Raw genomic sequence first — 14402 nt, 5'->3', positions numbered from 1 at the left:
CTCTCTCTCTCTAACCAATTGCTTTGGGGGAAGCCATGCCATGAGTAGCCATATGGAGACGGGCTATGGCAAGAAACTGAAGCTTCCTGTCAACAGCCACAAGAGTGAGCTTGGAGCAGATCCTCCAGCCCCAGTCAAGTCTACAGAAACTGCAGCCCCAGCTGACAGCCTAACTGAAACCTCATGAGACCCTGAGCCAGTACCACCCAGCCAGGCTGCTTCCTGACCTTCAGGAACTATGTGAGATAATAACTATTTATTGTTTTCAGCTGCTAAGTTTTGGGGGTCATTTGTTACACAGCAATAGAGAACTAATATACTATTGTTGCATCCTTCTGTGGCTAGGAGACTGGACAGTTATATTTATTTAGGGCCACCTTAAGTCTTTTGTGAAATAAAGCAAGGAGAAATATATAAATTACCACTAAAATGTATCAGAACTTTAAAGAGTCCTTATAGTTAGGAGCTTGTCTTATCCTTAAACATGTAAAGTTCTATGTATGATAATCAGTGTTTTCTCCTCTCAAATATATTTAATGACAAAATTCCTTTCATTCTGTTTTTATGTTCTTAGTTGTCATACTAAAATCGATACGTATTAGTTTGCTCTTAAAAGGAAAAAATTATTTTTCTCAAATTGTATTTAACCTACACATAAGAATGTATGTATTTTCACATCTATGTATAGAGTATAGTATAGATAATATGGGTAGAATCATGTATAGTTGCATTTAGAAATTACCAAATACTGATTACTAATAAATTTTTTTTTTTTTTGAGACAGAGTCTTGCTCTGTCACACAGGCTGGAGTGCAGTGGCACAATCTCGGTTCATTGTAACCTCTGCCTCCTGGGTTCAAGCGATTCTCCTGCCTCAGCCTCCCAAGTAGCTGGAATTACAGGCATGCGCCACCAAGCCCAGCCAATTTTTGTACTTTTAGTAGAGACAGGGTTTTGCCATGTTGGCCAGGTTGGTCTCAAACTTCTGTCCTCAAGTGATCTACCCACCTCAGCCTCCCAAAGTGCTGGGATTACAGGCATGAACCACCATACCTGGCCTCTAATAAGAATTTAACAACAACAACAACAAAAAAAAATCCTTATAGTTAGGAAGCCTTTTAAATTTGTCATATTTGTAATAATTTAGGTTTCTTTCTTTTTCCCTTCTGTTAGTTTATAAAGGCAGGAATTTATGATTTTATATAAATTAATAGGTCAGCAGGTTTTCCATGAGGAGCAGGGGACTTTCCTATTGTGAGGTGGAAGGCTTTATGACAACCCTTGGCTGCTCAGAGGCCTTTATTCCCTTCTTCCTTCCTTGCTGCTGGTTGTCTTATCACCTCTATAAACTCTGGATGAGGAATATGCTACTGAAATTAGTAAAAGTGGGAGCTTCTTAGTCTATTTTAAAAGGCTCCTTACTTTTTTTTTTTTAATTTTTATTTATTTATTTATTTTTTTTTTTTTTTTGAGACAAAGTCCCGCTCTGTCGCCCAGGGTGGAGTGCAATGCTGCAATCTCAGGTCACTGCAACCTCTGCCTCCCGGGTTCAAGCGATTCTCCTGCCTCAGCCTCCTGAGTAGCTGAGATTACAGGCACCCGCCACCACACCCAACTAATTTTTGTATTTTTAGTAGAGACAGGGTTTCACCACGTTGATCAGGCTGGTCTCGAACTCCTGACCTTGTGATGTGCCCACCTCAGCCTCCCAAAGTGCTGGGATTACAAGCGTGAGCCACCATGCCTGTCCCCTTACATTGTTTTAAACAAGAAATATCTTATGGTATATTCCCAATCACCAAGAGCACTTAAAGAACATAATTTAACTGCTGGAGATTTAGAAAAGAAATATTTCCTTACCATAGCATATTCCCCTAGTGGGTCTGTTTTTGCAAAGTAATCATTCTCTAATTCTGTCCCAAAAGAATTCTCATATGGACTTTTACATTTCTGAATGATTTAATTCTACTGTCTAAGAAGTGACAAGAAAAAGTCTGTATTAAAGAATCAATACTTACCTAAAAATATCATTATAAGATAAATCTGAAGAAAAAAGGAAAATCTAACTTTGATTTTCACTGGATATGGCAATGTGAAACTGAATCGTCCGGTCTCATTGAATATTGGAATGGACTGAATCACTGAGACAGCTGAAAACAGAAACAAGAACTTGTTAGAAGCAAATGAAACAGTCACATTTAATGACAGGAACTTCCAGTCCTAGTACTCTAAAGTTTCAGTTCTGGGTGTGCTGGAAAGGCTTTCTCCTCCCTTTGTACAGAAAGCTCATGCCTCTCCTTTTTTTCCCCTACTTTTCTAAGAGATCAGCCTCCAACCTGTCAACAGAGAGACAGATGAGGAAGTCATGGTAGTGGGCTTCTTCTATTCTATAAAATGGAGAGGAAAATCCCTAGCTGACTTATGTATGAGATGTTTGTCAGAATAAAATAAAGTCATCAGTAAGAACCCCCTTTGGAATACTAAAAGCATCATACAAATGGGAAGCATGCAGGACATAACCACCTGGCTTTCCAATGTTACAAAATGAGCTACTTTTCTCGAACAGTCTGGGTACCAGGAGTATTATGGAAGGAAGCCCATGGAAAGAAATCCCTGAAAAATCCAACATTTCCATTTATCGGACTAAGGCCGGGGAAGAAAGGACTGGTCTCTCAGCCTCTGGGTACCCCCTGGAGCTAAGCTATGAAAGCTAAGAGTCCCTGAGAGTACCTTCCGCCAAACATCCCAGTGGATATAAGGGAATCCACAGAGTGTAACGAAGCCATGTGAGCACCTTCCAATCCATGTCAATGCACGTCAGCATGTAGAAAGAGTACCTATTGAAAATAAATGATTCCAATGTGAAAAGCCACTTCAGGTTCCGAATGCAACCTTAGAATATCATTTAAATAGAAGAATTCTATTTCTCAGCCACACATGGCTTCTTCAGAACAGAATTATAACGCTGGCTATCAACCCATAAACTCCTGCCACACTGCGCCCTAAATTTTCAAAGGATCTGAACGCTCTTTAATGGCAGACTAAGTTTAGGTCTCAAAGGAACCCTCTTTATTCGGTAAACGGACTGGATACTCAGATGTTTTTTGGCTTTATTCCTAGTGCTGATATACATTCCCGGTGGGTAAGGATATTAGATACTTTATTTCTGGATAAGTGAGTTGTTACCAAAATTAAAGTATACAGAAGACCTCTAATCTAGAATCAGACATATGCTATTTTAAAAGACATCCCTTGAGAAAATAAATGTTCCTTCTCAAACAGTAAACATTGCATTAAGGACCCATAATCTGATCCTTTTATAGCTCATAAGTGTGATAACTGGATTTTCACTCTCCTGTGTGAGATGTGCTTCCCTCAAACCTTGTTACATCAGCACATTACGTGTCTGATTTGAAAAACATAGGACCTATAATCTGTTTTACCTTTGTATTAAGGCTATTAGAGGGTACACTGGGTGCCATGGGACACAGACCATGGTTAAGACACAATTTAAGGCTGCTATGGCCTGTTCTCTCTCTCAACTAGCAACTTTGTCAAAATACCACCAAACCTGGAGCTGAGAAGTTCATTTGCAAAATCCTTGCTCCAGCTGACTGAAAGGGAAGACATATGGAGTGTGTATGGTCTGGTAAAGAAGAATACATCTACTTTAACTAGATCCATTTCTTAAAAGATATTTATGCTACTAACAACCGAGAACGGGAAAATTGGGTTAGAGGCCATTTCAAACTTCAATAATCTTGTGGTATAAGATTCATTTCTATCATCCCTTGTAGAAATTTAGTCTTAAATTAGTTCTATCCAACCTGGATTGCTCCTTCAACCTCCTGTTTCTTCAGCCCTTTCAAGAATTTTTCCATGTGGATGGGTCCTCTCTTTCCAAGACTGCAAGATCCTGAAGTCATGGTAAGATGAGTCTTCCCTTTCTCTGGTTCTCCTCTTCTGCTCCCTAGTATCCAGTCTGGTATTATGATCCAATGACGGCTTTAAAAAAATCTGTCTCAACTTTGCAGAGCACATAGGTGCAACCAGAATTCTCCACATATGTAATCTTAGTCCCAAACCAAATGAGACTCTGGCTAAGATAACAACTCCCTCAAGAACAGAGCTGCTGCAAACAGGGAGCAGCATTCAAACACCATCCTGGCATTTCTACCCACCTGAAAATTTCAATTGCACTCCACAAATAAAACACAAAGAAAACCACAGCTTTGTTCTGCATTTCTTCCATGGTGCCAAAGATGATAAACAAAATAAAATTTCTTCCAAGAAGCTATTAGAAAGACCCAAAAGAGAGAAAAAAGTTAATAAAATATATGTAAAGTTATAGAAATGTGTTATCTGAAATCTAACCCCACTAAATGCAAGGCAAATAGAAAAGATTGACCTCGACCAGTTTAATCCTGCTCCAGTTCTGGAACAAGTAAAGTGCCCAAACCAGTCTTTGTGACTAGACAGGTACAGTATTTTGTGTAACTATATCATAAATCATTTCTTTAAAATACAGACACATGTTCAAACGCAGTCTAAAGAATACTGCCAAATAAACATTTGAGTTTATATAACCCAAGTTAAGAAATAGAGCACTACAAACGTGGGACCCCTATAAATAACTACTATCATGTGTTAATAATTCCATGGCTTTTCTTTTTTATCGAGACGGGGTCTCGCTCCGTCACCCGGGCTGGAGTGCAGTGGTGCAATCATGGCTCACTGCAGCCTTGAACTTCTGGGCTCAAGCAATCCTCCCACTTCAGCCTCTCAAGTAGCTGGGATCACAGGTGTGTGTACTACCACACTGGCTAATTTTATTTTTTTGTAGAGACGGGGTCTCACTGTGTTGGCCAAGCTTGCTCAAACTCTTGGGCTCAAGTGATCCTCTTGCGTCAGCCTCCCAGAGTGCTGGGATTATAGGCATGAGCCACTGTGCCTGGCCCATGGCTTTTCTTTATGAATTACTGCTTGTGTATGTATTCCTGAACAGTATATTGTTTCATTTTGCCTGTTTTAAAACTTTCTGAAATCATTCTATATGTATCATTCTGTGACTACTTCTTACTCAGAGTTACGGGCCAGAGACTCATCTATGTTTTTTGGTCTTGTTTTTTTTTTTTTTGAGACAGAGTCTCGCTCTGTCGTCCAGGCTGGAGTGCAGTGGCACGATCTTGGCTCACTGCAAGCTCCGCCTCCCGGGTTCATGCCATTCTCCTGCCTCAGCCTCCCGAGTAGCTGGGACTACAGGCGCCCGCCACCACGCTCAGCTAATTTTTTCTATTTTTTAGTAGAGACGGGGTTTCACCATGTTAGCCAGGATGGTCTCGATCTCCTGACCTTGTGATCCACCCGCCTCGGCCTCCCAAAGTGCTGGGATTACAGGCATGAGCCACCGCGCCCGGCCAAGACTCATCTATGTTGATGCATGTGGCTATAGTCCACTCATTTTCACGTGGCAAGACATTCCAATATATGATAGACATTCTATTCTTCATAGATATCTGGGTTGTCTGTTTCTGGGTTTTATTCTGTTCCCGTGGTCTGTGTGACTATCTTTGTACCATACAACGTGGTATTAGCTACTAAATCTTTATACTGTCTTGATTTTTTATAGGGTAAGTCCCCAATTTGAGCTCGTCTTTAAAGAATATTCTCGACCTTTTGCTTTTTTCTTTTTCCCATTTTAAAAATTGTGGTAAAATACACATAATGGCTGGGTGCGGTGGCTCATGCCTGTAATCCCAGCACTTTGGGAGGCCGAGGCTGGCAGATCATTTGAGGTCAGGAGTTCAAGACCAGACTGGACAACATGGTGAAACCCCATCTCTATTAAAAATACAAAAATTAGCCAGGCGTGGTGGCAGATGCCTGTAGTCCCAGCTACTCGGGAGGCTGAGGTAGGAGAATCGCTTGAACGTGGGAGGCCGAGGTTGCAGTGAGCCAAGGTCACACCACTGCACTCCAGCCTGGGTGACAGTGAAACACCATCTGAAAAAAAAAAAATACACATAACATAAACTTTACCATCTTAATCATTTTTTAAGTGTTTAGTTGAGTGGTATCAAATACCTTCATTATGTTGTGCAACCATAATCACCATCCATCTCCACAACTCTTTTCATCTTGTAAAATAGAAACTATGACCCATTGCCGGGCACGGTGGCTCACGTCTGTAATCCCAGCACTTTGGAAGGCCGAGGCGGGTAGATCACCTGGGGTCAGGAGTTCGAGACCAGCCTGGCCAACATGGGAAACCCCATCTCTACTAAAACTACAAAAATTAGCTGGGCGTGGTGATGGGCACCTGTATTCCTAGCTACTCGGGAGGCTGAGGTAGGAGAATTGCGTGAACCCAGGAGGCAGGGGCTGCAGTGAGCCTAGATTGTGCCACTGCACTCCAGCTTGGGCGACAGGGCGAGACTCTCAAAAAAAAAAAAAAGAAAGAAACTATGACCCATTAAACAATAACTCCCCATTCAGCCAGCCCCTGGCAAACACCATCCTACTTTCTGTCTCTATGGTTTTGACTATTTTAAGTACCCCATGTAAGCAGAATCATCTAGTATTTGACTTTCTGTGACTGGCTTATTTCACTTAGCATAGTTTCCTTAAGGTTCATCCACATTGTAGCATACGAGAGAATTTCTTTCATTTTTAAGGCTACATAATATCCCATTGTATGTATGTAACAGTCATTCTTATCCATTCATCTGTAGATGAACACTTGGGTTGCTTGCACATTTTAGTTATCGAAAATGATGCTACTATCCTGGATGGCCCTCTGTTTTTTCAAAAAGCTTCAGAATTTTCTCCTCACATTCCAAAATTTTTTAGATTGTGATTGGAAATGTATTGAATCTACAGGGAAATATGAGAACTAACAATATTATAATATTGAGTCTTATAATTCAAGAAAATTACGTCTGTATATTTACTTTTTGTGCTCTCTATTCCTTCCTGTATCTCAAAACAGTTCACTAATTTTCTCTTCAGCTATGTCTAATCTACAACACAAACTATCCATTAAATTTTTATTTTTTATTTTTTTTAGAGACAGGGGTCTCGCTCTGCTGCCCAGGTTGGAGGGCAGTGGCACAATCCCAGCTCACTGCAACATCGAACTCCTGCACTCAAGGAATCCTTCCGTCTCAGCCTCCCAAGTAGTGGGAATATAGGTGCACATCACCATGCCTGGCAAATTTTTATTTTTTTAGAAATGGGGTCTCACTATGCTGCCAAGGGTGGTCTCCAACTGCTGGCCTCAAGCAATCCTCCTACCTCAGCTTCCCAAAGTATGGGGATTACAGGAATGAGCCACCATGCCTGGCTGTAAATTTTAAAGTTTGATTATTGTACTTTTCATTAATACAAGTTTTTAAGAAGTACTGCCTTCATCTACACAAGGTGGGAGGAGACCACATACATTTCTAACTAAGGAGACTGAAGGTAGGTTTTTCAGCTCCTGCCTAAGAGTCAAATTTCCCTAGTCTTAAAGCTCTTTATAACTTTGTGATTTCATAAGGATATTATAAAAAATGAAAAAGACCTGAAATAGTAAAAGTCTACTTTGGTAAATAACCCTGGGGTTTTAAATGTTCTTTCTTGTTCAGGTAAAATAATGCTATTCCTGTACAAATAGGTGTTTTTACTAATTGAGACTTCTTAGCAAAATGTAACATACAGATATGGTTTGGCTGTGTCCCCATTCAAATGTCAGCTTGAATTGTATCTCCTAGAATTCCCACATGTTGTGGAAGGGACCCAGGGGGAGGTAACTGAATCATGGGGGCTGGTCTTCCCGTGCTATTCCCATGTTAGTAAATAAGTCTCACAAGATCTGGCGGGCTTATCAGGGGTTTCCGCTTTTGTTTCTTCCTCATTCTCTCTTGCCACCGCCATGTAAGAAGTGCCTTTTGCCCTGCACCACAATTGTGAGACCTTCCCCCGCCACATGGAACTGTAAATCCAATTAAACCTCTTTCTTTTGTAAACGGCCTGGTTTCAGGTATGTCTTTATCAGCAGTGGGAAAACGGACTAATACAGTAAATTGGTACCAGTAAAGTTGGATGTTGCTGAAAAGATACCCGAAAATGTGGAAGTGACCTTGGAACTGGGTAACAGACAGAGGTTGGAACAGTTTGGAGGGCTCAGAAGAAGATAGGAAAATGTAGGTAAGTTTGGAACCTCGTAGAGATTTGTTGAATGGCTTCGACAAAAATGCTGATAGTGATATGAACAATAAAGTCCAGGCTGAGGTAGTCTCAGATGGAGATGAAGAACCTCTTGGAAGCAAAGGTGAACTGGAGCAAAGGTGACTCTTGTTATATTTTAGCAAAGAGACTGGCAGCATTTTGCCCCTGCCCTAGAGATCTGTAGAACTCTGAACTTGAGAGAGATGATTTAGGGTATCTGGCAGGAGAAATTTCTAAGCAGAAAAGCATTCAAGAGGTGACTTGGGTGCTGTTAAAAGCATTCCGTTTTAAAAGAGAAACAGCATAAAAGTTTGGAAAATTTGCAGCCTGATGATTCAGTAGAAAAGAAAAACCCATTTTTTGAGGAGAACCTCAAGCTGGCTGCAGAAATTTGCACAAGTAGCAAGGAGCCTAACGTAATCCCCAATGTAATCCCCAAGACCATGGGGAAAATGTAACCAGACCATGTCAGAGGCCTTCATGGCAGTCCCTCCCATCACAGGCGCGGAGGCCCAGGGTCCCTGTGCTGTGTGCAACCTAGGGATTTGGTGCCCTGTGTCCCAGCTGCTCCAGCCTTGGCTGAGAGGGGCCAATGTACAGCTCAGGCTGTGGCTTCAGAGGGTGCAAGCCCCAAGCCTTGGCAGCTTCCACGTGGTGGTGAGCCTGTGGGTGCAGAGAAGTCAAGAATTGAGGTTTGGAAACCTCCGCCCAGATTTCAGAAGATGTATGGAAATGCCTGGATGCCCAGGCAAAAGTTTGCTGCAGGGATGGGGCCCTCATGGAGAACCTCTGCTAGGGCAGTGAGGAAGGGAAACATGGGGTTGGAGCCCCCACACAGAATCCCTACTGGGGCACTGCCTAGTGGAGCTGTGAGAAGAGGCCGCCATCCTCCAGACCCCAAAGTGGTAGATCCACTGACAGCTTGCACCATGCACCTGGAAAAGCTGCAGACACTCAATGCCAGCCGGTGAAAGCAGCCGGGAGGGAGGCTGCTCCCTGCAAAGTCACAGGAGTGGAGCTGCCTAAGACCATGGGAACCCACCTTTTGCATCAGCGTGACCTGGATGTGAGACCTGGAGTCAAAGGAGATCATTTTGGAGCTTTAAAGTTTGACCGCCCCACTGGATTTCAGACTTGCATGGGCACTGTAACCCCTTTATTTTGGCCAATTTCTCCCATTTGGAACGGCTGTATTTACCCAATGCCAGTACTCCCCTTGTATCTAGGAAGTAACTAGTGTGCTTTGATTTTACAGGCTCAAAGGCAGAAGGGACTTGCCTTGTCTCAGATGAGACTTTGGACTGTGGACTTTGGGGTTAATGCTGAAATAAGACTTTGGGGGACTGTTGAGAAGGCATGATTGGTTTTGAAATGTGAGGGTATGAGATTTGGAGGGGCCACGGCTAGAATGATATGGTTTGGCTGTGTCCCCATTCAAATTTCAACTTTAATTGTATCTCCCAGGATTCCCACGTGTTGTGGCAGGGACCTAGGGGGAGGTAAATGAATCAGTGCGGCCGGTCTTTCCCATGCTATTCTCAGGATAGTGAATAAGTCTCACGAGATCTGATGGGTTTATCAGGAGTTTCTGCTTTTGCTTCTTCCTCATTCTCTCTTGCCGCCACCACGTAAGAAGTGCCTTTCGCCCTCCACCATGATCGTGAGACCTTCCCAGCCACATGGAACTGTAAGTCCAATTAAACCTCTTTCTTTTGTAAACTGCCCAGTCTCAGGTATGTCTTTATGAGCAGCATGAAAATGGACTAATACACATACCCACTAGACAAATAATGGGACCTTCCATTACCCACCCTTCAGCTTAACTATTCAATACCTGGATCAGAGAAGGCAGCACCGGTGACGTAGTGACTCCAATTGCTGCATTGATAGTTTCCACAACTGCCAGCATCTGGCAGAAATACATCATGTCAGCCACAGTATGGAATGTGTCATAAAAGGACTCTATAGGCAAAAATATACATTAAGGGTGAATCAGTTGGTAAATTCCAACAGAACTATTTCTCAAACTAGATTACTCCTTTCGTGAAAATAACTGTAAGAAAGGAATAACAAACATCCAGTCAGATTCAAGTTTCTTACTTAACTAAGCAGGAAGGGTGCAGGCCAATGGGGTCATGAATAGTAAGCTCTACCAGTTACCAGAAAGTTAACACGTACACCTTATATGCCTTTCTCTTTTTTTTTTTTGAGATGGAGTCTTACTCTGTCACCAGGCTGCAGTGCAGTGGCACGATCTTGGCTCACTGCAACCCCCGCCTCCTGGGTTCAAGTGATTCTCCTGCCTCAGCCTCCCGAGTAGCTGGGACTACAGGCACGCACCACCATGCCCAGCTAATTTTTGTAATTTTAGTAGAGATGGGGGTTTCACCATGTTGACCAGGATGGTCTCGATCTCTTGACCTCGTGATCTGCCCACCTAGACCTCCCAAAGTACTGGGATTACAGGCGTGAGCCACCACGCACAGCCACCTTTCTAAATTTTTTTAAGAGTCAAGGTCTTGCTCCATCACCCAGTCTAGAGTACAGTGTCATGATCACGGCTTACTGCAGCTTCAACCTCCTGGGCGCAAGAGATCCTTCCACTTCAGCCTGTTAAAGTGCTGGGATTACAGGTATGAGCTACTACACCTGGTCCATACTTTCATTATCAGGTAGAAAAATCCTCTCCCATTAATCTTTCTTCTCCTAAATTTTATTACCTATTTATTCATCAAATAAAGTTTCAGAATACTTTAGATCAAATTCTCAAAAATTTCCCATTGGCATTTACCAATGGAATGCCACTGGTCAAAGCCAGAATCCTGCTAAACACATAAATTAATTTAAGAAGAACTAATATCTTTATGATGCTCTTTTTATTCTGTTTTAGAATAGTTCATTTTAGAACGTATTTAGGCTCCAAAAGGGTGAGAACCCTTTTGGCCTTGCATAACTTTGGCACTGGAAGTATCACATCAATTTATTTAGTTGTTAGTGAACATTTTTACAAAAGGATTCTAGCCCAAGATGTGGCTCTGGCTAGCTATGGATGTGAACCATTTTTGACCATCTCTAGGCCTATATTTTATTACCTGTTATATGGAAAGAATACCAGTCAGCTTATTTCACAAGGCCATGGGAAATAAGAGCTATGAAAGCACAACGAAAAGTAGAGGGTGCTGCACAAATGCAGGGGTTATTATTAACATCAAAGGCAGAGAGTGCTCCCTTTGGTGAATACTGGGCCAAACTACTGAGAAAGGGAAAATTAATCCAAAAATGTCTTACTTGCCTTTTCCCAAGATACAGAATCGCACAGTCAGGTTGACAAAGATCCAGGAGAATCCCAAGAATTGCACAAGATTATACATAAACAGGTATCCTTTCCTTAAGTTTGTAAGAGCTGTAAAGCAAAGCAAAGCAGTAAGCTATTAAAAGCAATAGTCCCAGCAGGAGACAGGTGTATGAGGCATATCTGGATGACTTCAACCCTTTTTCCTTCCTGAATGCTCCTAAGCTCCCACACAAATACCTGGTCCAGGTCCTCACCAGCCTGGGCTCCTACTCCCACAGAGAAACATACAAGGAACATTGCTCTCCAGCATGTATTTTCAGCAGGACTTCCTTTCCCAGCCTTGAAGAATAGGTATACAGACATAACAAACCCAAGAAAAAAATATTACCCCTGGTGTGATATTATGATATGTGTATATGTATATATAGGTTTTCGGCAACGGTTTCTGGCTTATAACTCCCACAGCCCTTGTTACAGTTTTTTGTTATAATGTTGGGACACTTTAGGCCTCAGACAACAGAATCTCCCTCTATGACCTTCCCTGCCTTCCTTTCAGCTGCCCAAGGCACGACTCTAATCTGATTGTGGGTCCTAAGACCCTCATTCCAGAGAGGGTCTTGCCTCATACTCTGGAGGAGGGAACACTGCACAGAGAGGCTGAGAAGAATCTGGACAGACAGGCCTTGCTGGGTTTAGGTCAGACCCTTTTTGTCCAATCACATTTCAACACAGTTCAACACGCTTCAGTCATGCCTATCCGATGAAGTCTCCATAAAAGGCCCAAGGGGACAGGGTTTAGTCAGCTTCCAGACAGCTGAACACACGGAGGTTCCTGGAGGGTGGCACACCTGGGGAGGGCATGGAAGCTCCGCGCCACTTCCTCCATACTTCCTCCTAATCTCTTCATCTGTATCCTTCATAATATCCCTTATAATAAATGAACAAATGTGTTTCCCTGAGTTCTGTGGAGCCACGCTAGCAAATCAATCAAACCACAGGAGCGGGTTGTGGGAACCGTAATTTACAGCCTATTGGTCACAAGTTCTGGAGGTTCAGACTCGGGACAGGCTGGGGGCAGGGGTGTGTCTTGGGGACTGAGCCCTCCATCTGTGGGAACCTGATGCTATCTCTAGGTAAACAGTGTCAGAATTGAACCAGAGGGCACCCAGCTGGTGTCTGCTGCAGAACTCATTGCTTGCTTGGTATGTGGGGGAAAAAACCCACCCACTTGGTCACAGAAGTCTTCTGTGTTGATTGTTGTTGAGTAAGAAAATAGGAAAAAGCAGTTGAGTGTTGTAGTGTTGTATTTTTTCCATAACACCTGGCAAAAAAATGAGTGGCCATCTGAAGAGGCATTACAAAAAGGAAATAAAGATTTCCTCAGCTCCGGCTCAATTTTTTTTTTCTTTTTTTTTTGAGACAGAGTCTTGCTCTGTCACCCAGGCTGGAGTGCAGTGGCACAATCTCGGCTCACTGCACGCTCCACCTCCCAGGTTCAAGCAATTCTCCTGCCTCAGCCTCCCGAGTAGCTGAGATTACAGGCTTCCGCCACCACGCCCGGCTAATTTTTGTATTTTAGCAGAGACAGGGTTTCATCATGTTGGCCAGGGTGGTCTTAAACTCCTAACCTCAGGTGATCTGCCCACCTTGGCCTCCCAAAGTGCTGGGATTACAGGCATGAGCCACCGTGCCTGGCCCTCCAGTCATCTTAATATAATCCATAGTTTCTTCTTTTCTGGAATTTCTTTAAGGTCACTGAGGTCAAACTAGCTCAAAGAGACAGATACAGTAAATGAAAAAAACAACCCTGATATTTGGTTATATATTCACTCAACCAAGCATTAACTGAATACCTACAATGTGCAAGGTACTGTGAGAAGAACTACTGGGATACAAAGGTAGTTCAAGGCTGCCCTCAGAGCTTACAATCTAAAAACTGTAATACCAGGTGGGGAGTAACAAGTAATGTCTTGTGAAACTTTCAAGGTGAAAAAACGACATTAGGCTGGAGAAGTAGGCATCAAGCTAGTCTACATGGATAAAGCTGGTATCTAATCCGGGCTTTTTTTTTTTTTTTTTTGAGATAGGGTCTCACTCTGTTCCCAGGTTAGAATGCAGTGGTGGGACCATAGCTCTCTGCAGCCCTGACCTCCTGGAGTCAACCCATCCTCCCACCTCACCGCCCAAGTAGTTAGTTCTACAGGTCTGTGCCACCACACCTTGCTAATTTTATATTCCATTATGTTTTGTAGAAACACAGTCTTGCTACGTTGCCCAGTCTGATCTCGAACTCCTGGCCTAAAAGATCCTCCCGCCTCAGTCTCCCAAAGTGCTGGGATTAGAGGCATGAGCCATCATACTTGGCCTGATCTGGGCTTTGAAAGATGGGCAGACTGAGGACATAACCAAAGCAGGACAATTTCAAACCAACATGCAGGAAAATAAGGGACATTAATTTTATCTGCAGCCTAAGATTCATGAAGATACAGCCAATTACAGAGTAAAGGAAGAAACAAGAGGCTTTGACAGAGTCATTGTTGAGTCAAAGGAGTAGGGTAAAGAAAAGGACAGTTCTTAAGAGGAGATCTATGGTGTTCAGATTTTGCTGCTACATATTTATTCCTAGGCTACAGATATTCTGCAAAGACATCTGGTTGGTCCTCAAATAATCACATTTAATAATGTGGTCAATCAAAAGCAGCCTAAGCCAGGCACAGTGGCATATGCCTGTAATCCCAGCTACTTGGGAGGCTGAGGTAGAAGGATCACTTGAGCCCAGTATCTTAAGATCAGCCTGGACAGCATAGCAAGACCCCATCTCAAAAAAAAAAAAACAACACAGCCTTATCCTAAGACTCCAAAAAATGTCAGACTTCTAGCAACATTTAGCTAATTAAAA

The 14402-nt window shown here is 42.7% G+C and overlaps 1 protein-coding gene and 1 non-coding gene across 3 annotated transcripts in view; one reads left to right on the top strand and one right to left on the bottom strand.

Moving 5' to 3' along the window:
* HACD3 (3-hydroxyacyl-CoA dehydratase 3) overlaps window positions 1-14402 on the bottom strand; it is a 47887-nt gene that overhangs the window by 3965 nt on the left and 29520 nt on the right. For both annotated transcript variants that reach the window (NM_016395.4, NM_001411136.1), the window contains exons 6-10: window positions 11501-11611; window positions 10043-10170; window positions 4182-4294; window positions 2731-2837; window positions 2019-2150 (exon numbers count right to left, since the gene is read on the bottom strand). In NM_016395.4, the coding sequence (NP_057479.2) occupies window positions 2019-2150; window positions 2731-2837; window positions 4182-4294; window positions 10043-10170; window positions 11501-11611 (591 nt within the window). The remainder of the gene's footprint in view (window positions 1-2018; window positions 2151-2730; window positions 2838-4181; window positions 4295-10042; window positions 10171-11500; window positions 11612-14402) is intronic.
* Window positions 3312-3412, top strand: LOC124903602 (small nucleolar RNA U13). The gene has a single exon (XR_007064829.1). It is a non-coding gene; the product is annotated as a small nucleolar RNA U13 (small nucleolar RNA).

This window comes from Homo sapiens, chromosome 15 (assembly GCF_000001405.40).
Source record: "Homo sapiens chromosome 15, GRCh38.p14 Primary Assembly".
In the NCBI taxonomy this organism is placed as follows: domain Eukaryota; kingdom Metazoa; phylum Chordata; class Mammalia; order Primates; family Hominidae; genus Homo; species Homo sapiens.
The sequence above is the reverse complement of the archived record's forward strand: the minus strand, read 5'-3'. Positions and strand labels throughout refer to the sequence as shown.